The 22,365-nt window shown below is 43.3% G+C and overlaps 2 long non-coding RNA genes across 3 annotated transcripts in view, besides 3 other annotated features; one reads left to right on the top strand and one right to left on the bottom strand.

Annotated features, from left to right (window-relative positions):
- Positions 1-15,181, top strand: part of LOC105375218 (uncharacterized) — a 38,659-nt gene extending 23,478 nt beyond the window's left edge. Inside the window, exons 3-4 of the long non-coding RNA NR_136267.1 lie at positions 8,328-8,496; positions 14,214-15,181. This is a non-coding gene — a long non-coding RNA (uncharacterized LOC105375218). The remainder of the gene's footprint in view (positions 1-8,327; positions 8,497-14,213) is intronic.
- The window catches only part of LOC124901607 (uncharacterized), a 95,727-nt gene that overhangs the window by 21,647 nt on the left and 51,715 nt on the right, over positions 1-22,365 (bottom strand). The gene's annotated exons all lie outside the window — the stretch shown is intronic.
- Positions 7,400-7,544: an enhancer, noted in NCBI's record as "145 bp enhancer 259 fragment used in the MPRA reporter construct; PK_construct_226". NCBI's record gives its function as "activates an SV40 promoter by MPRA in HepG2 cells {active_cell/tissue: HepG2}" and the evidence as "EXISTENCE:reporter gene assay evidence [ECO:0000049][PMID:23512712]".
- Positions 7,465-7,478: a transcriptional cis regulatory region, noted in NCBI's record as "HNF1 motif; enhancer activity is reduced when this motif is scrambled". NCBI's record gives its function as "necessary for full MPRA enhancer 259 activity {active_cell/tissue: HepG2}" and the evidence as "EXISTENCE:site-directed mutagenesis evidence [ECO:0005528][PMID:23512712]".
- Positions 20,641-20,840: an enhancer, noted in NCBI's record as "active region_25808". NCBI's record gives its function as "activates an Ori minimal core promoter by ATAC-STARR-seq in GM12878 lymphoblastoid cells {active_cell/tissue: GM12878}" and the evidence as "EXISTENCE:reporter gene assay evidence [ECO:0000049][PMID:35858748]".

Genomic DNA, 22,365 nt, shown 5'->3' with positions numbered 1-22,365 from the left:
AATTACTTTGCATACATTCACATTGAATCTTTCTTTTCTTTTTTTTTTTTTTCTGAGGCAGAGTCTGGCTCTATCACCCAGGCTGGAGGGCAGTGACGTGAACACGGCTCACTGCAGCATCGACCTCCTGAACTCAAGCGATCCTCCCACCTCAGCCTCCTGAGTAGCTGGGACCACAGGTGCACACTACCAGGCCTGGCTTTTTTTTTTTTTTTTTTTTTTGTAGCAACAGTCTCACTTTATTGCCTAGGCTGGTCTTGACCTCCTGGGCTCAAGCGATCCTCCTGCCTCAGCCTCCCAAAGTGCTGGAATTATAGGCAAGAGACACCACTCCCAGCTCCTCATTGAACCTTCTCCTCATTGAGTCCCATGGAGTAGGAACTATTATTACTTTCATTTTAGAAATGACAAAGCTGAGACTTAGAGAGATGCAGTAACTTGCCCAGAGTCACAGTGCTACTAAGTGGAGGAGTCAGGAATTGAAATCAGATACAGCACCTGAACTTCAACATTGTATTAACAACTCGACAAGCAGAATTGTCAGTTCTCTTAACAAAAAGCAGTTCAAAACGGTCCTCCTCCCCAACCCACTGCAGTTTCCTCTGTATTTCCCCACGCAGTTCCACCATGACATTTTCTACAATTAGCAATAGGAATTGAGTCACTTACTGTTCTTTTTAAAACTGAAAACATCATTATTTTGCTAAATGCTAATAATTATTAAAGCTCTCTATTCTCTCAACTCGGTAGCACAAGCACACCAACCCCACTAAAACCCAAAGCACAAAACGTTCAGGTCAAACTTTTTTTTTTTTTTTTTTTCCGAGACAGAGTCTCGCTTTGTCATCCAGGCTGGAGTGCAGTGGCGCGATCTTGGCTCACTGCAACCTCCACCTCCTGGGTTCACGTGATTCTCCTGCCTCAGCCTCCCGAGTAGTTGGGACTACAGGTGCCCGCCACCACGCCTGGCTGATTTTTTGTATTTTTAGTGGAGACGTGGTTTCACTGTGTTAGCCAGGATGGTCTCAATCTCCTGACCTCATGATCCACCTGCCTCGGCCTCCCAAAGTGCTGGGATTACAGGCACGAGCCACCGCGCCCAGCCAAACTCTTTAGTGTTAAAAAGTTTGGTTATATTATCAAGGATTGGTGTTTTCTAATGAAGACACACCTTCCATAAAGGAGGGTGTTACAGACTGAGTGTTTGTATCCCCCTCACATTTCTAGGTGGAAGTCTTCACCCCCAATGTGATGGTATTGGGAGGTGGGCCTCTGGGAGGTCATTAGGTTTAGATGAGATCTTGAGGGAGGCCCCCATGATGGGATCACTGTTCTTGAGATGGCAGCTTGCTCTCTCCCCACCAAGTGAGGACACAGCAAAAAGGTGGCTGTCTAGAGGCTGTGATGTTGGCCCTCACCAGGAACTGAATCAGCCAGCATCTTGATCTCAGACTTCTCAGCCTCCAGAACTATAAAGAAACACATTTCTGTTGTTTCATCCAGCCAGTCTATGGTATTTTGGTATAGCAGCCCAAGTAGACTAAAACAGAGGGGCTCCCTGAAGATAAAATTCTTTTTTTTTTTTTTTTTTTGAGATGGAGTCTCGCTCTGTTGCCCAGGCTGGAATGCAGTGGCACAATCTTGGCTCACTGCAAGCTCCGCCTCCCATGTTCAAGCAATTCTCTCACCTCAGACTCCCAAGTAGCTGGGAGTACAGGCGTGTGCCACCATGCCCAGCTAATTATTGTATTTTTAGTAGAGATGGGGTTTCACCATGTTGGCCAGGCTGGTCTCGAACTCCTGACTTCAAGTGATCCACCCACCTCAGTCTCCCAAAGTGCTGGGATTATGGGTATGAGCCACCACACCTGGCCAAAATTCTTTGATATTTAAGGAAAACTTGATTTTTTATAAAAATAGCAAAGAGCCAGGCAGTGTAGCAATAAGGGAGTGAGGCAAATGGCCTGCCTCTACCATTTCACATCATGCAGCAGGACACAGCTGAGGACACCAACTCCCTCAAGTGGTGCAGATATTTCCAGAGAGCTCAGTTATAACTAAAAGTGCTGGTGACAGCACAGTCACAGTTCATATCACTCTATCATGTCTTCTGTGTGAAACCCATAATGGATGTCATAGATCCTGCCACAGTCGTGATCCACTCCAGGGGATTTGAGGGTGACAGCTGTTTTGGAGGCATGGGAGAACCTGAGTATTGGACATCTGTTGCAAAGAGAAAAAGTGACTACACAGGGATGACCAACTTGTAGAGGCTTCCCTGCCCAGAGTTTCTAGAGACATATGCTGAGTGGTGTTTACTGCTCATTAGCTCAGATACCTCTGAGAGATTCTGCCTAAACTACTATAAATCTCTTATTTGAGCAGCAAGTAGATAGCCATGAATATGCATGAGGAGAAAAGAAATGCTGGTGTGTGTTTCTGAAAATAAAGATCAGCAAAAGGCCAAAAAGTTCAAAATGTATCCACATGTCCACCAGAGCATGGCTGACAAATATGCCAAACACACCTCTTCCTGGGCCCTTGGCAGACATCAGTAATCAGTCATTGTAGATATCACCGCTGAGGCTGTCTGTGACTGCAGAAATTCTTCCAGATCAGGACTCCAGGGAGCCACTAACCATCCTTCAGACTTGACTCTCCTACAAAAGTTTTGCCAACCTTGGCCTAGTTTCACCAATTAGGGACACCATACTAAGTATTTTTAGCTGTATTCTCTCCTCTTCCTCCTGCCACCTTGCCTCAAGTTCCAACTCTCTTTTCTCAGGGAACCCTTTATACGCTTCACTCTTTGTGACCTTCCATGGTCCAAAATAACCTCAAAGATAAACTTGCCCAAGAGGCACTGTCACAGTTAGGGATGACATTAAGTACAGGCATACCTCAGAGACATTGCAGGTTTGATTCCAGACCCCCAAAACAAAGTGAATAATGTCATAAAGCGAGTCACACTTTTTTTGGTTTTCCAGTGCATATAAAAATTATGTTTACACTATACTGTAGTCTGAAGTGTGCAATAGCATTATGTCTGAAACAGATATGCTTTAGTTTAAAAGTACTTTATTGCTAAAAAATGCTAACAATCTGAGCCTTCAGCGAGTCTTAATCTTTTTGCTGGTGGAAGGTCTTGCCTCACTTTTGATGGCTGTTGACTGATCAGAGTAGTGGTGCTGAAAGTTGGGTGACTGTGGCAATTTCTTAAAATAAGACAATAATGGACTTATTGATGAACTCTTTCATAAAATATTTCTCTGTAGCATGCAATGCTGTTTGATAGCATTTTACTTACCCACAGTAGAACTTCTTTCAAAATTGGGAGTCAATCCTCTCCAACCCTGCCACTGCTTTATCAACTAAGTTGATGAAGCATTCTAAATTTTTTGTTGTGATTCCAACAATGTTCACAGCATGTTCACCAAGAGTAGATTCCATCTCAAGAAACCACTTTCTTTACTCATCCATAAGAAGCAACTCCTCATTCATTGAAGTTTGGTCATGAGACTGCAGCAATCCAGTCACATCTCCAGGCTCCATTTATAATTCTAGTTATCTTGCTATTTCCACCATATCTGCAGTGACTTCTTCCACTAAAGTCTTGAACTCCTCAAAGTCATTCATGAGGGTTGGAATCAACTTCTTCCAAATTCCTCTTAATGTTGATATTTTGGCCTCCTCCCATGAATCAAAAATGTTCTTAATGGCATCTAGAATGGTGAATCCTTTCTAGAAGATTTTCAATTTACTTTATCCAAACCCATTGAAGGAATCACTACCTATGGTAGCTATAATCATATAAAATGTATTTCTTATATAATAACATTTGAAAGTCAAAATTACTCCTTGATCCATAGATTTGCAGAATGGATGTTGTGTGAGCAGACAGGAAAATAACATTAATCTCCCTGTACATCTCCATCAGAGCTTTTGGGTGACTAGGTACATCATCAATGAGCAATCATGTTTTGCAAGGAATCTTTTTTTTTTTCTGAGCTGTAAGTCTCAACAGTGGGCATAAACTATTCACTAATCCATGCTGTAAACGGATGTGCTGTCATCCAGGCTTTGTTGTTCCATTTCTAGAGCACAGGCAGAGTAGATTTAGCATAATTCTTAAGGGCCTTGGGATTTTTGTAATGGTAAATGAACATTGGCTTCAATTTAAAGTCACCAGCTGCATTAACCCCTAACAAAAGAGTCCTTTGAAGGCTGACTTGAAGCCAGGCCTTGAGTTCTCTTCTCTAGCTATGGAAGTTCTAGATGGCATCTTCTTTCAATAGAAGGCTGTTTTACCTACACTGACAATCTGTTGTTTAGTGTAGCCACCTTCATCAACTGTCTTGGGCTAGGTCTTCTGGATAACTTGCTGCAATTTCTACATCAGCATTTGCTACTTTACCTTGCACTTCCATGTCATGGAGGCAACTTCTTTCCTTAAACCTCATGAACCAACCTCTGCTAGCTTCCACCTTTTCTTCTGCAACTTTTTCACTTCTCTCTGTCTTCAAAGAATGGAAGAGAGATAGGGCCTTGCTCTGGACAAGGCATTGGCTTAGGGAAATATTGTGACTGGCTTGATTTTCTATCCAGATCAGTCAAACTTTCTCTATATCAACAATAAGACTCTTTTGCTTTCTTATCATTCATGTGTTCACTGGAGTAGCACTTTCAATTTCCTTCAATAACTTTTCCTTTGCATTCACAACTTGGCCAACTGTTTTGTGCAAGAGGCCTTGCTTTCAGCCCATCTTGGCCTCCCACATACCTCCCACTAAGCTTAATAATTTCTCCCTTTTGATTGATAGCGAGAGATGTGGCGGGGCATGGTGGCTTACGCCTGTAATCCCAACATTTTGGGAGGCCAAGGTGGGTGGATCACTTGAGGTCAGGAGTTCAAGACCAGCCTGGCCAACATGGTGAAACCCTGTCTCTACTAAAAATACAAAAATTAGCTGGATGTGGTGGCACATGCCTGTAGTCCCAGCTACTTGGGAGGCTGAGACAGGAGAATTGCTTGAACCTGGGAGGTGGAGGTTGCAGTGAGCCGAGATTGCACCACTGCACTACAGCCTGGGCCTCAGAACAAGACTCCATCTCAAAAAAAAAAAAAAAAAAAAGAAAGAAAAAAGAAGATGAGATGTGTTCCTCTTCCTTTACTTGAATATTTAAAGGCCATTGTATGGTTATTAATTGTCCTAATTTCAATATTGTTGGGTCTCAGGAAATAGGGAGGGCCAAGGTAAGGGAGAGATGGAGGAACAGGCAGTCAGGGGAGCAGTTAGCACACATACATTTATTAAGTTCTCCATCTTATATGGCTCCCCAAAACAATAAAACAGTAACGTCAAAAATCACTAATCGGCCAGGTGTGGTGGCTTATGCCTGTTAATCCCAGCACTTTGGGAGGCTGAGGCGGGTGGATCACCTGAGGTCGGGAGTTTGAGACCAGCCTGACCAACATGGAGAAACCCTGTCTCTACTAAAAATACAAAACTAGCCAGGCATGGTGGCACATGCCTGTAATCTCAGCTACTCGGGAGGCTGAGGCAGGAGAATTGCTTGAGCCCGGGAGGCAGAGGTTGTTGCGAGCCAAGATCACGCCATTGCACTCCAGCCTGGGCAACAAAAGCGAAACTCCATCTCAAAAAAAAAAAAAAAAAAAAAGAAAAGAAAAAGAAAAAAATCACTGATCATAGTTCACCATAACAAATGTAATAATGAAAAAGTTTGAAGTATTGTGAGAATTACCAAAATGTGACACAAAGACATGAAATGAACACAAGCTGTTGGAAAAATGGCACCAATAGACTTGCCTGATGCCAGGTTGCCACAAACCTTCAATTTGTATATATAAAAAAAAAAGTAGTAAGCAGTATCTAGGATGTGCAATAAAGCGAAATGCAATAAAACAAGGTATGCCTGTATATCGAACAACTGGTTCAGCCCAGGTGTTGATCAATGAGAATTGTTCTCTGCCTATAAACAGCCATGAAGACAGCCATGCACACAGAGCGCGTTACCTTGGAGAAGCATGGCGCCAGCCAGAGAGTTGGCATTTGCAGGCAGCATTCGGAAGATATGCTTATACTCGATAAAAACAGAACTGTCTGTAAATGCTAAAGGACTTTTGAGTTAGTGCAACTGCTTCTTCCGGATTCATGACTCCACGCTGACAGTGCCCAGCACGTGCCTTGTCCTTAAGAAAGGCATGGGCCAGGGTGTGCTCTCCTGGCCCATGAGGACACCTTGGTTCTCACCCCTCCCCAATTTCAACCCTCTGGACTCTACAACTAAGGCTTCTTCAGTTTGGTCCATTTTTTTGTACTAAAATATACCCTCCAAAAAGTGATTATTTGGAGGCTCGTGCAATTTGTTTTTGGCATGTAGGGTCAACAAGGGCTATTCTTCATCCCTGTTGATTGGAAAGAAAAACAATAAAGGAAAAGTGTCCAGCCAGCCAATGATGATTATATATGCCTCTTGAACGAAATGTGGGTATCTTAGAACTGTTCCCAATGTGTGTTCCTGGATCTTCTGCCTATATTCAATCCCCAGGTTTGATTCCAGGACACCCCCATGAGACCTACAGAATGGGAACCTTTAGCTAAAAAGACCAGTACTCTACTTTTTGAAATAAAGTTCGCAAACTTGAGGCTTAGGAGCATTTGGTCATTCTGCCCAAAGACTTGGCCTTTCCTTGAACAGATTTCTTAACAATGAAATCTTGAAAATTCAAAACATTAGCTTTCTTGGTCACCTTCATAGTGGAATTTAATCACAGACAAAACAGATATGAGATAAAGAAGTAAATACTGGCCCAAATGTCACTGAATACAAGGCTGATTGCTGGTTACAGTCCTGGAGGACAAACAATTCGTTTGCTTCTGTGTCATTCAGTCCAGTCAACATTGATTATTCCTATTTATAGAAAATCAAGGGTAGATGATACCACAGAAGAGATCATCGAGGATGTTTCAGTCTGATCTCTGGAATGCACTCAAGGTCACTGTGTGACTCAGGGACTTGGTCTCACTTTGTCCCTGGCTTTGGCCCCTCTTCAGACTCTCACCAACTCAGCAGATAGGAAGGCGTCATGGATGAAAGAGTCCTGTTCATCCCAGATCTATTTACAGAATTAGGCTAGTGAGGTTAAAAACTATGGACTTTGGGCTCAGACAAACCAAGTTCAAATTCAGACTTTGATGGTTAACAATTGGGGACCTTGACCAAGTGGTTTGTCTTCTTTGAGCTTCAGATTGCCCTTATTTTAAATGGCTATAACACTTCCAACCTCATAGAATTCCTAAGAGGATTGAATAAAATGATGTACATGGAAGCATCAAACACAGTTCCTAGCACGCAGTGTACCCTTAGTAAATGTTAGTGCAATTCTAGTTAAGAAGCTGAGTAAACTTCCAACACTTAGCATTACCTCTTCTAGCCAAAGTAAGTTAATCATTGACTGTCAAAACCAGGTCACAGAAGATCTAGGAAACAATAACAGGGTTGTCCTTCAGCTCAGTGTTTTAAAGCAGACTTTGAAATTTTATGACAAGTATGCATTATGGACATAAAAAAAAAAAAACAATTTCACACCGAAAAATAGGAAGCACATTATCTCAGAAGAAAGAACAACTGACAATATGCACACTCACACACTCACACACAGACACACAGACACATGCACCACATTATCTTTATTTTTCTCATTGGCTACAGATCAGACCGGATTAGACTTGGTCCTGTGGGGAGGCACTGTTCTAGAAGTAACACCGAATCTGTCTTCTCCGGCTATAGAACACCAGGAGTCAGGGCATCTAGCAACCTTCCATGGGACCCAGCAAAAGAGGCATCACAAACTGCTGGCAAGCCTGCATCTCCATACTGCCCAGAGGCCAGACATCTCCATGGAACTGACAGGGCAGCAGTCACAAATTCTAACCACCCCGTGCTAGATTTCTCTAGGCATGTGGAGAGCCAGGTGCTCTTTCCATTTCGCATGTGAAAAAACTAAGACATAAAGAGGTTAAAGGATTTTTCTAATTAACATTGATTCAGTGGTGAAAATAGGACAAGAAAGCACATTTTAAAGCTGGGGCCATTGTTCAAAGATTTGAGGGCAATGTACCCAGCCACCTATCCACTCTGCAGGCAAGACAAACAGAACAAGTAGGGCAACTATAAATCTGCTGGCATCAATCGGCACAACAAAAATAGCACTACTAGTGCCTTTTTTATTCCCAAGAAAATGTGTCCTCTATAGCCAATTATTTAAAGAAAAGTTCACATGTGAGTGATTTTTTTTTTTTTAGATATAAACATGAAGGCCAGGTGCGGCGGCTTACACCCGTAATCCCAGCACTTTGGGAAGAGTGAAGTGGAGGAAGAGGTACATTCAACTACAGAGGAGGAAACTGAGGCCCAGAGGGGAAAAGTGACTTGATTGACAAAAATTGGATTCTGGTCTTTGTTCTGCCAAAGGTTCGTTGTGAGATGGGAACAAGTTTCAGCCTTACGGTCTCAATTTAATGTTTAAACCATTGTGCTTCACATTCTAAGGACTGCTGTCACCAACAGGCTTGCTCAAATGCAAAGCAAAATGCTTTGAATTCATGTGAAGAAAGCTTTTGTAGTGAGTCAAAGCCTTATTGTTGACAAACAGTTATAGGACAAGCTACATTTGGGAGTGATGATATTTTCTGCTGCTAGTGTCTGTCCTTCAGGAGTCAGGTGAGCACTGCAGGTAGAGATAAGAGACAAGTTTCACCTGCTCAAAAATGTCTCTTTCCCCCATCGACATGTGCCAGGGCCTGCAATTCCTACCATCTGTCTCATCTTTGGGTTAAGACAGTGCTTTCATTCATTTGTTCATCCATGTATTTAACCAACGGTTATTAACCTGAGCCCCTGCTGTGTACCAGGCAGGTACCAGGTGTACGGTGGCACAGTGCCTTCATGAAATCTGTCATCTACTGAGGGAGATGTTTGTACTTTCTGCTAAGATCTATGACGGAAAAGAGAATAGCAGAGGGCTCAGTTGGGGAAAGAGACTTGGAAGCTGTTGCTGAAGGGCGGAAAGGAGTTAACAGAGTGCTGAGTGGAGGAGAAGATTTCTGGGCAGTGGCAGCAGCATTGGCTAGAGGCCAAGGCTGAGGGCAGTGAAGAGCCTGGTGAATTCCAGGAACTGCCCTTGAGGCTGAAACAAAGAATGTGAGAAGGTTAGTTGTTGTAGGAAATAAATTGGAGACTTTACCAGGGTTGGTATCTGCAGAAAGTAAATTTTTACCATAAGAATGTTGCCTTGAGTATGATATATGCAGCCACTGGCTAACTTGGCAGGAATGATTGCCTCAAGTTGGCTGGTCTCAGTAGGCAAGTGACAAAGGGTAGATCTGAGGTGGGCAGAAGGAGAAGGGAGGGAACACTGGGAAGGAGCTCCACCCCACCCAGAGGGCCTAGGTCTGGGGTGAAGACTGGTGCAGCAAGGAGTGGGAAGCCTGTTGGGGTGTGAGCCCCACACTGACATGGCTGAGTCACTTCCTAGACGGGGACTTACTGAGGCTGTCTAAGCAACCACACACTCCATGGGGCCTGGTTCTGAAATGGAAGTATAGCCGTGGCGTCTTGAAGCTGACCAGGGAGGTAGTCTAGTCCAAGTTGCTCATTTTACAGGTTATGACTCTATGACCTAATTCAAGTGAAGTGAAAGCCACAGCTGGTTGTGTTGAGCTTTGAAGACTGTTCCCTGACTCTCATGCACCATGCCATCTCATCATTGATCGTGAGCATCTCCATGTAGTTGGAATTAGCTCTCAGGGGCAACTGGGTCATATATGGAGATAGTAGATGCCCAAGAAACACTTGTCAAAATAATATATTTCTCCATATCAGTTTCCTTTAGTTTCTTTTAAAGTGTATACAGATTGAAGACTGAACCAGACCACTATAGTCCCACACTCATACAAACTTGTGATTCATCAACATTCTTCCCAGAAATTGCCATTTTACCAGTGTAAAAACAATATTTTAGATGGAGAATATTTAAGAACATGAAGTACACAAAATGCATCATTCTACCCATCAAAGAAATTGACTAGGATCTGAAACAGGTTTCTAAAACATTAATAAACTATAGGCATTGAGATCTACAGTATGTTCGTTTAAGGGGTGGGAGAAAAATTGGAGCTAGGTGAAGGGGCAAATAATGAATTATTTCACTTCTAGGAGAGATTATATTGAAGAAAAACCTAAAATCAGTATTTTTAACATCATAACAACACAGATAATAGATAACAAGTGGATGATAGGAATTAGTAAAATTCTGGCTCTGAACATGTCCTTTTAGAAGTATAAAGAACACCAGAATGTATTAACATACAGTGTGTGCGTGCGTGTGTGCGTGTGTGTGTGTCTGCATGCGCTCCTGACACATGAGAACAGTGCTGTTTCCATGGCAACGGGGGAAAGTGTGTCTTGCTATGAAGCAATCTTCCTGGATTCAGACACATTTATAAAGATCATGCGCTGGAAGCTGTGAGGGATATATTTGATTCTACTATTCTTTAAATGAGTTAGGCTGTTGTTCCTGCCTCCCCCAGCCATTCTCCTATGCTGGACCTCCAAACTGAGCTTCGAGTACATTCTTTCAATTGTTTCCCCCCATCCAGCCTAGTGACAACCTCCATCACTGTACCATCTACTGTATCCCTTGGGGTTTCTCAAACCTGGCAGTAGGCTATGACAAAGATCCCCCATTGTCATTGCTCCTGAAGCACTGACTCTGTGTGTGTGTGTGTGTGTGTGTGTGTGTGTGTGTATGTGTGTGTGTGTTTTGTAGTAGTTCTTTCTTTCTTCCAAATGTACCTCTAGGAGATAAGTCCTATTCTTATCTCCAGTTTACAGACAGGGGAACTGAAGCTTAGAGAGGCCAGGTAACATCTCCATGGTCACACAACTAGTAAGTGGTAGAAGGGAAATCTGGACCAAGTGGCCTGATTTAGGGCCTATGCTCTTCACTCAGCAGGAGGAGGAGGAGGAGGAGAGGAAGGAAGCAATAGCATAGAGTTTTAAAATGTGAGAAATTTGACTTTATATCCAAGGCTTTTATAGTAGTGGTCCTTGGTCTGTAATGTCTGGCTTCCTTTTGAGACAGCTAAAAAATAAGAGTTTTCATTTTCAGCCCTCTATTTTTATTCTTGGACTTGAGGTTCACAAACCTTTCCCTTTCTTCTGATCCCATTTTTGAGTGTAGACAAAGTTCAGTATAATAGTAAATGTTCCTTTGCCTTAAGTGAGCAAGTTGATTTCTGAGGCTCTGCCCAGACAGCAGTGATTGTGCCTGGGCTTTCTCTCAAAGACATGTAATGTGATTTCTAGCAGTGGCTTCTGATTGAACTTTTATTATTTTTAATAATTCTCACAAATAATTATAATGTGGTATACTTATTTCATTCTCTTGCCTATTAGTGGCTAGAACTTCCAGAAATAGTGATCCTGATTAATAAGAATGCCTCAACTATTAGGCAAAAACCACAATTACTTTTGTACCAACCTAATATTTAATCGTATTTTGAAGAGGCTAAGCTTAGGCCTTTATCCACAGTAGTTTCCTCATAGGAAACTTTCATCATATACTTTCTTAATCAGGAATCTGATAATGGCTGCACAATTAGCCACCAGGCAAGCAGGAAGGTACAGACCTTCTAAGTGATCTCCTAATACTCAGAACTTAATCCAATGCCAGAGTCCACTTTTAAAAGTCAGCTCCATTGAGGAGAATGCTCCCTTAATATAAAACCATCAATCCTGTAGCTGTTTAGAAAGCCAGATCTTCATTCAGCTGTGAACATTAATGATGGTGTGCACCTCAATAAAGAACACTGTCAGGCTGAATTAAAAGACTATAAACTGGGTGTACAAAGGAGAATGAGACAGTAGCAGAGTGCTGGCACATAGGAGTCAAGCAGTAAATATTGTTGATGCTCATCTTCTGCCCACACCCACCCATGATAAAAGAACAAATGATGATCCACCGAGTCTTAGCAGCAAAACACTTCCTGTGCTATATAGAGAAGGTAAAAAACACCAAGCCCACGACAACTGCCTAGGTACAACTCATCTTCCTTTAGAGTGATGCTAATCAAGTTCATCTGGCCACTTTGTTCTCCACATTAGCATCTAATAGATGAAGCCTAGAAGAAAAAAGCCATTTTTCTTAGGATTCTTATAATCACAAAGTGTCTGTAGTCATAGGGATCAGGAATGGTTAATTAATACTTGCATTATCTTGCTTCCTTTTCTCCCATTATTTATATTTCCCAATGGAGTAAAACAGGGTTCAGCTTGGAAAACAAAGAAGCAATGGTTCTTAAAATACTGTTAACTCTGTCTGTGGAATGTACTCACAGCACAATCACAAGGGCAAAGTTATAAATGATGTGGCTTTGTTAGTGAGGCTTGCTTTATTTTTGTGAATGCATTGAATTTAATGAAACAAGGAACAACAACAGGAATGTATTATGTTTTCTAGTTTTCTTATTGACATGCTTTCTGTTGGGTCTAAGTATAGTTCTTTCCTAACTAGCACTAATTTTCAGTATTCTAAGTCACCATGCATGAAATCCTATGTTCTGTTCCTCTGTTATGAAAATGGTTTTCTTAAGTCTAGGTTTTTTGAAACTCCAGGTTTCAGTTGATTTAATGACTTGGTAGTCTTGCAATGTGGCTCTACATTCAAAACACCCACAGAATCTGACCACTTCTTACTACCTTCAACACTGCCCAGCCCGAGCCAGCATTATCTCTTCCCTAGATCACTGCATTGGCTCTGACCTGCCTCCACCCTTGCCACATTAGAGTTCATCTCAAAATAGCATTCAGAGTGGTTCTTTAAACACAAAAACAAGAAAAGGCCATTCCTCTGCTCAGAGCCCTGCCAGGGCGCTCCATTTCACTCAGAGTCTTCACAGTGACATGGGGGCCTGCCATGACTGGGTCCTCACCATGCTGTGATCACATCTCTATTGCTGTCTCTTCCTCATTCACAGTTCTGGCCATGTTACCCTCTTGCCGTTCTTTCAACATGCTGGGCACTGCCTCTTCCCTCTGTCTGTAATGCTCTTCCCTATATGTGGACACAGTTACTTCCCTCATTTCCTTCCATTTTTGTGTTTGAATGCCACCTTCTTAATGAGACCTCTCTTGGCCACTTTATTTAAAAGTGTACCCTGTCTACCCCAACTCCAGCATTCCTGGTACCCTTTACTATGCTGTAAGTTTTCTTTCTTCCATAGAGTGTATCACTTGCTAACATACCATATGATTTTCTTAAATGTGTCCTGTTTCTTGTCTGCCTGCTCCAGTAGAACGTAAACTCCAGGAAGGCAGAGAGCTTTGTTCACTGATGTACCCCAAACACAAAACAGAATCTGGCATGTAGTGAGCACTCAGGAAATACTGAAATATTTGTTGAGTGAATGAATGCATCACCAGTGTCTAGAGCTATTCCTGGCACACAGTAGGCTCTTAATACTGGTCAAATGTCTCTCCCTGGAGGACGAACAGGGCTAAGTGTCAGAGACCCAGGCCGCATAGCATAGTGATTCAGAAGACCACAGGCTCTGCCTCAGCTGGAGTGGGCTGTGTCCTACTCGTATGACCTAGGCTGTTTACTTAACTTCTCTGAACCTCAGTTTTCTCATCTGCAAATTGGGAGTGATGAGTACCTCCCTTACAAGGTGGTTATGAGAATTAAATGTGATCATTTGGATAGTAAGTCTGGTAAATGCTCAATAAATTTGAGCCATTATTATTATTATTATTATTATGACATCTTATTCTTTTACCTCTTTTTTCAGGGAAATAACTTCCATGTCTGTTCTTACCCATCAGGATTATTGGGAGGAAAAATATACAACACCGTAAATGAAAAACATTTTATAAACCTTATACCACTCTCCGGATGCTGGGGATCAGTTGCACATATAAGAGGTGCCCCATGGACACCATTGACTCATTAATCTGGGAAGTCTACAGGTAGTGGGAAACAGTCTTAAGTGCTGACAAAGAAAATTACACTGGTTCTAATCAATAGCTAGGATCCCTTCTGAGATACCCCTTCCCCGTGGCATCATGGAGGTGGGAGGAGGGCCAGGCCATATTTCAAAGTCCCCCTCCTTCTCTTCCCTCTTCCTCCCTAGGCTGCCAGAACCTTTCCTTGTAGTGCAAGAACAACCACACTGCTGGAAGTGAAATTTGCAATCTGCTCTATCAGATGATTTCTGCGCATGGGCTGTTACTATGTTCAAAGCATTAAACTGCCTGAAAGTGGATTATTTACAGAGCTTCTCTCTTCCCAGAGCTACGGATAGGTGGCAATTCAGCCTCTTCACCCTAATGCACACTTTCTCACTTTCCACCGAGACTCTTTGTTTGCTGACAGCATCTGGCTATCCTGAGTACTTGCCTTAGCTGGCACAGTTCTCTCCAATCCCTAGAAGAAACAGCCTTCACCTACACTCCAGGGATGAAATAACATTTCAGCTCAAAGCTAGCAACCTTTCTCTGAAATGGTGTCACACCCAGACAGAAAAATAAATGTGCTGTTTCTTCTTAGATGATGAGAAGTCAGGCTTTCAGGCAGACTTTTGACACAGGGAGGATCAAGGTTTGACTGCCTTTGAGTAATCCTTGCAGAAAAAACAGCACCTAATTGGACAAAGGAAGAAAGGAACCAGCTGCTACTGTCAAGATTATTTAAACACCCATCCACAGTCAAAAACACTGCATTGTTTCATTACAAGTGAAATTTGATTGCCACTACATTTCCTGCTGGCCTCCCCTCTATGCAAATTGGGGAGAAGAAAGAAATTCATAAGGCACCAGAACCCATTTGGCTTCTAAATGTACTGTTTGCATATAGACATCAGCAGCCTGAATAAATCCTAGCGAGGAATGTCAAACTGACAACACTGGCTACTTTTCTATTGTTCTCCCTGAAAACATCGTTTTTAACACGTTCACAAAGGCAAGCTGGATTCTGTTTTATCAGTGTTTTAGTAAAAGACAAGTGGCGTGGTGGTTCAGTTGTGGGTATCGGACATTAATGAAAACCATTCTGGGAGAGTTCACTTTATAAAAGATTAAAATAATTCATCAACTTGCAAAACAATTGTTCTAACCCTCTCTGCTGACAGTCAATGTTTGTGCTGGGGGCTGAGTATTATATAATAATTTGTACAGCAGTTCATAGTTCCTAAAACATTTCTGCCTTGGGTCCGTCAGAGGACACTCCCAAGGATGCCATGAGTGAGGCAAGGGCAGTTTCCTTATCCTCATCCCGCAGATGAGAAAGCCAGATCTTAGAAAGATGGGGACTTTTTATTGTCACGGAACATGTCCAACCCCTGGGCATTCACCTTGCAATGCAGATTCCTCCTCATCCTTCGAAGCCCGAATACAACATCTCCCCTTTTCTGTAGTATTTCCTGTTCCCTCCACACCCCCTGCCACCAGCACCACTGCAGTTAATTCATTTATCCAGGATCAGTGAAAAACCACTCTGTCATGGGAGGAGATGCAGCAATGTCAAGGTCATCGTAAGTCCCATGACAAGGTGACAATCTCTCCTCAAGGGAAGCAAAGATGGAGACGGTGCCCTTGTGTAACACAAACCCAACTGGGCTTTCTCTGTGAGCTCAAACTGGGAAACTTAAGATGGAGAAGAGCTAGCTGGAGTTCTTCTGCGTGGGATCCTGCCTCTGTGACAGCCCCTGTATCTGCTGACAGTATCTCTTCTGCTTCTTCTCCACGACGTGAGACCCTCGAGAACAGGGACCATTTCTCTGCCAGGGACAGTGAAAGCCTGGCGCAGGACGATGCCCCATCATTGCTTCCTGAATGCACCTCTAGCGTAGTGATCCTGACAGGTCACCAGAAAACAGGGCCAGAGCTCACAGCTCTAACTCCTGACTTGGCATAATTTCTTCCCTGGGCTGCCTTATGGTGATGGCAGCAACAGCCCATCTAGAGTGGCTGCTGCCAAGACACTGGCTGTGGTGGGAAAGTGTGGCTGGGCTCCCGCTCTAGGGAGCAGGCAGGAGCCCTGCTTTCCTCCGGTGCTGCTGCAGCTGCCCTGGTGCAGCTCCAGACTGGGTGTCTCTGTGCCTTGGGGGCCCAGGAAGGTGCCCCTGCCCCCAACAGGCTCGGAAGTGCCTGCTCCCACTGCCTGGCCTCTCCCTGCTCCCAGTGCCTGCTCTGATCATACAGTAAGGTTGGGGCCAAGCCCGGGTACTGACACAGTCCAGCCAGGTGGACGCATGCTTGGGACAGTACTGATACGCCAGCCCCCTGCTCCCTCAGCCCCCTCTGAACTTTGGGTGCCAACAAGCATGGGAGGGAAGCTGAGCGGGGGGATGAGGGCAGCTCAGCACTGGCCTGCAGGCTCACCTTGGGACAAATAGCCTGGGTGCCATGAACAGCAGGGGGAGGCAGACAGGCTCCTGGGCAGAAGGGGTTGGGTCCCCGGTGAAGCCTCACCTTCAGCCTGGGAAAGTCCTAAAGCCTGGGGACCAGGCTGCCAGTCCTGCTGACCAGAGGGGGAACTCGGGGTGCTTTACCCTGGGCCCACCTATGGCTGCCCATGGACCAATCAGCATGCACTACCCCCCTGCCGAAGACCATAAAAACCCCCGACTCAGCCAGAGCAGAGTAGACTTCTGGATGACCAGCTGCAGAGAAGAGCTAGCCTCTCCAGGGTCTCCTCTCTGCTGAGAGCAGCAGACATCCAGACAACCAGCTGCAGAGAGGAGCTAGGGCCTGCTCTCAGCAGACAGAAACTACCCTCTCTGCTGAGAGCTGAACACTCATTGGGACAACTTGCCTGTGGAGAGGAGCCACCCAGTCCAAGCCTTTGCTGAGAGCTGCAGAGGTGATGGGATGACCTGCTTGCAGAGAGGAGCTACCCACTGCTGGTTTCCTCTCAGCTGTTCTACTACTTGATAAAGCTCCTCTTCAGCTTGCTCACTCTCCACTTGTCTGCATGCCTCATTCTTCCTGGATGCAGGACAATAACTCAGGCAAAGGCGCCACCGGCCACAGAGGTTTCTGGCTAGAAAAGCAACAACCCTAATAATAGTAACTATACTGTGACACATTATTCTGCAACACCCTCCTCCCACATTAAAAAAAAGAGGAGGGGGCAATAAAATTAATAATAGCTAATACACAAGAGGGCTTACTACATGTCAGCCCCCACCCTCGGTTGCACACGCATATCCCCTTAAAAGCCCCTCTGAGCTAGGCACTAATGTTCCCTTGTTCTATGGATGAGAAAACTCACCTAAAGATGCTTAGGCCATGCAGCTAGTATACAGATGGTAATTCAAACCTAAGCCCTTAACCTCACAGAAATTTAACAAAGTCAAAACAACCCAAAAGCTAAAAATTGCTTATCTAACTATCCAGAGATGTTTTCCTGCCCATAAGTCCCTGCTATGGACTCTATATGAGATGGTACAGAGCTACTCAAAGCTGGTCAGGAAACCGTCACCGGTCTATGATGGGATAAGAACAGAAATTGAGAGTAAACATTTAAAAACGTTTATGGCAACTTGATATTGCTGCTGTATCCAAGTGTGTGATCAGTGGACTTATCTTGTTCAGCAGGAGAGTGACTGTTTGGATGGTATGAACTTGAATGATGAACTGCCAGTAGTCTGGGCTGTGTGCTAGTATTATTCTGCAATAGATTGAAAAATTTCAGAAATTGATTCTTTACCAGTTTGAGAAACACTAACACTATAGTTCTATTTCAGTTACCTTGGGAGTAGAGGATGGAAAAAGTAGTCCGGCAATAGCTAGGAGAGTTTTGTCTAGTCTCTTTGCTACTGCCTAGCTGGGTGACCTCAGACAACTTCCCTTCTGATAATTGTAGAGTGAAGGGCTTACACTAGATTCTAAGTCCCTTCTGTGCTGTGGCACAATGAGCATATTTGTTACCAGAGTAAATCATTTCTTAATCTCTGCTTCCTCTGATATTGTTTGGCTTTGTGTCCCTACCCAAATCTCACCTTGAATTGTAATAATCCCCACATGTCAAGGGCAGGATCAGGTGGAGATACTTGAATCACGAGGGGCGGTTTTTCCCATGCTGTTCTCCTGATAGTGTTTATCACGAGATCTGGTGGTTTTATAAGGGGCTTCCCCCGCACTCGGTATTCATTCTCTCTCCTTCTGCCCTTTGAAGAGATACCTTCCGTCATGACTGTAAGTTTCCTGAGGCCTCCCCAACCATGAAGAACTGTGAATCAATTAAAACCCTTTCTTTCTTTATGGCAGCATGAGAACGAACTAATACATCCTCTATATAACAAAAATATTTTCAGCAGTAATCATGTAATAATCAGAAATAAGCACAATCTTCTTGATCTTTACTCTGAAAAACAAGTAATTTTAAAAGAATAATTTCCTTTTAAAAGATCACTCAAATATGCTCAAATAAATACCATACCTCACAGTTCATGCTCTGTTAGCCAATTTAAATTTAAATATAATAGAAATAAAATTTCCCAAAGTCACACAGAATTGAAGTAACTCAAATTCCATGTTTTTGTCTTTGCAGCCACTAAATCTGTGTTGCTGAGTCTGCTGTTTGCATGCAGGAATGTGAAGGACTGCTCAAGTTGGAGATACAAATTGAAGCCAGCCCCAGTTCAAAACTGTTACAAATGGAGTCTGTAGGCATGAGGGGCTGACTATATAACTCAGAGTTCTCCAGTACTTTACTTTAATAAAGAACACAATCTTTATTAAAGGATAAGTAATAAAAATGTGTTGATGTGCAACTTATGGATCTATTATTAAAACTCAACAGTCATTGCAGCAATGTTTAGAACTTAAGCAAACAAAAGTTTTGTGAGGGGGCAATTTTATCAATGACATTGTTTAGAAATGTTGGTAGATGGTGATCATAAAAAGCAGATCAATGTTTTATTTCACTTGGGTTTTTAAAAATTATTTTTAAAAAATTCTATACTGACAATGAACCCTCTTAATTCCTGAATATAGGGAAGCCCCCCCGCCCATGCCCAAACCCACTCTTGGTATGCTGCTGCTTCCAGTTATAATAGTTGGTATACTTTAGGGATTGAAAAGGACTTGGTTTTAAAGAGTTTCAACGGCAATGCACTTGCTCTTTTGGTTCAATAAGTTTAATTCTGGGCCAAGGGGAAAAAAATCCAATCAATATTAATAATAGCTAAAACTTACTGTGCGCATACTTTGTGCTGGGCTCAGTGCCCAATGCTTTGTGTATATTACTTCTTTCTTTCTTCCAAATGTACCTCTAGGAGATAAGTCCTATTCTTATCTCCAGTTTACAGACAGGGGAACTGAAGCTTAGAGAGGCCAGGTAACATCTCCAAGGTCACACAACTAGTAAGTGGTAGAGGGGAAATCTGGACCAAGTGGCCTGATTTAGGGCCTATGCTCTTCACCTCAAAGTTCTGCTGCTTCCACTTTGTGTCTACTTGCCACATACTCATCAGACAGAACAAAGCACACCACAATAGAATAATGACTCTTTGGGGGCATCTCTTCAGGGCCAGGAACTGTAACTACACTATAATATTCAATCTTCACAACAGCCCTGCTAGGCAGGCATTTAGTACCTCCCTTTTCTAGCAAGAAAATAACATTCAGCAAGGTTAATTACTTTTAGAATACAGAGTCAGTAAATGATGGAGCCCATATTCAAACCTCTACTTTTTTCTTTGCTTTTTCTGTTATCTTGCACTTCTTGCATAAGCCACCCAATGCTTCATTGAACCACAACATGAAAAAATCCTTATGCCTGAGAAACAAGATACTTTCAATCTAGTTGGAGAGCCAGGTGCCCGATTTCCCAGCCTGCCTTGCAGCTAGGAAGCCATAAATCCAGCCAATGAGATGTTAAGAGGAACTGGCTGGTGGAGATAGGTGAGTTATTGGAAAACCTTTGCCTTCCTGATAAAAGGGACAGCCTGAGCTATCAAGGACCTTCTCCTGTCCTTCGTTTTTTGCACACAAATGGCAATGCTGGATCTGCAGTAGCGATCTTGTAACCACAAGGCACAAGCAAAAGGAATCTCAGAGATGGCTACCTTAATATCACAGAGCTGCTGAGCCAATACCAATAACCATCTACCTCTGTACTTGTAAAAAAAAATCCATATTTATTTAAGAACGCTTAATTGGGTATTCTGTTACTTGCAGCCAAATACAACCCTAATTTATACAGAAACAAGACCCAGTTTGAGTAGCCTCACTTTCCATAGAACTAAGTCAAGCCTTTGATTTCTATGCCTCTTTTAACTAACTTTTCCCTGCCTTCTTAAAGAGACTACCCTGAATGTAATTTTAGACATCTTGGTGCTGTAGACATGACACCAAGTATCTGCTATGCTCACAGCCCCTTCAGAGGATAACCATAAGTGGTTCTTTATCAATGGGCCCCCATGCTTTGTGCCTGGTTACTGTGATTCTCTGGCCAATGCTAAGCTGACTTAGATATTCAGCACTTGGCCCAAAGCAGCCATGCGCAGGTTGGCTGGTAGCCATGAGAGTTCTGTCCAGCAAAGGCACTGTATAGATAGATGTTAACTGGTCTACCTATGAGACACAAGTTGAGTAATACAAGGAGAATGCAGGCCACAAGGCAAGACAAGTCAAGAATAAGCAGAAACCAAGAGGTAAAGAGAAGGAAAGTGAAAAAGTTATATGAGGCTGGGTGCAGTGGAGTCACTGTAATCCTAGCACTTTGGGACACCGAGGTGGGAGGATTGCTTGAGGCCAGGAGTTTGAGACCAGCCTGGTCAACAGAGCAACACCCCATTTCTACAAAAACTAAAATCTATCTATCAATCGATTGATATAAATATATCTGGGCACAGCTACTCAGGAGGCTGAGGCGGGAGGATAGCTTGAGACAAGGAGTTTGAGGTTTCAGTGAGCTTGATCCTGCCACCGTACTCCAGTCTGGGCTACAGAGTGAGACCCCATCTAAAAAAAAAAAATGTTATATGGTAACAGCAGTAGAATCTTAACTATGGCACAGCCTCTAGGGTAGAAGCCACCAATGTTACTGAGGGAACAATAAGATGAGCCTTTTATTCTAGATCTTCTGGAAGTGATCTAAAATCCTTTAAGGGCCACTACCATGCTGTAGCTGGTAGCTGATAAAGCCATGTCATCAAGCTTACCTCCCAAAATACATTTACAGTAGCCCCATTAGATCACATTAGTCCTGGAAGTCTGAAAGAGCATAACCAACATGTTGGCAACCCAAGTTCATCATTCTCATCACCAGTTGTCATGATGTGCTGCACATACACCTGTGAAGCCCCAAGATTACAGGCAGGGTGACTGTGGGCCATATTTGGCCCAAATATATGTCTTGTCTAGCCTATATGGTATCTTAAGAAGATGTGATGCACAGTTGGACACATTTCGATGGAGTGTGTGCTCTTCAATTTGCCATGGTTCCCACCTCTCTCCATTCCTAATACCTGCCCTACTTTGCACATTTACATTATCCATTTGGTATCTGTAGGTACTTGAGCTGCTTGCTGCCCCTGGCGGATAATTGCAGAGGGGGTTACATATGATACCGAGATGTTCCACATAGCAGGAGAGGAAGCTGCTGCTTTCCCCAGAGTCTTCTTCATTCCTGAGGGCTATACCATTGAGAGAGAGAGAGAAAGTGAGAGACAACGAGAAAGAGAGAGACAATGAGAAAGAGAGAGAGAGAGAGAGCTTATTGCCACCTCTACAGACCATAAAGCTGGTATCTTCTCTCACTTCATCATCAACTTGCTTCTCTCCTGCAGAGTGTCTGCTGCTCATAACTCCTGTCCCCACCTCTAATCACATCCAGTACCACTTACCACCACAGCTTTTTTCTCTCCAGGCCTTCTATTGCTTTTTATCATGCCTGTCTTGCTGGGTGTTCATGTGGTTGACCTTTGTGGTCACAGCCAATTACCGGGTGCTTTTCCTTCTGCCCAGCAAACCATGAATCTCGGCACAATGTGGTCTCTGGGATAGTGGCTCTGATTAGCAGCATTTGTGAGCTGGGTCATCAGGAGCTGTGCTTTACTGTCAATCAGTTCTATTTTTGTTTTCCCAAAGACTTTTGAGTCCAGAGAGATTGTAGAAGCCTGAGGGATCTAGAAAATGAGGCTAGTGCAGAGGTGTGGTTTGGCCAATAGTGAAAATAACAGCCTGTGGAAATAGTCAAAGGAGAGATGACTGTGGGCGGCAGGAGGCAAGAAAGTTTTCCTTAAGAATGAGTTAAGACAGACAAAGGATTAAAAG

This window comes from Homo sapiens, chromosome 7, assembly GCF_000001405.40.
Source record: "Homo sapiens chromosome 7, GRCh38.p14 Primary Assembly".
Classification (NCBI taxonomy): Eukaryota; Metazoa; Chordata; class Mammalia; order Primates; family Hominidae; genus Homo; species Homo sapiens.
Note: the sequence above shows the minus strand (reverse complement) of the source record. Positions and strands in the feature narration are given on the sequence as shown.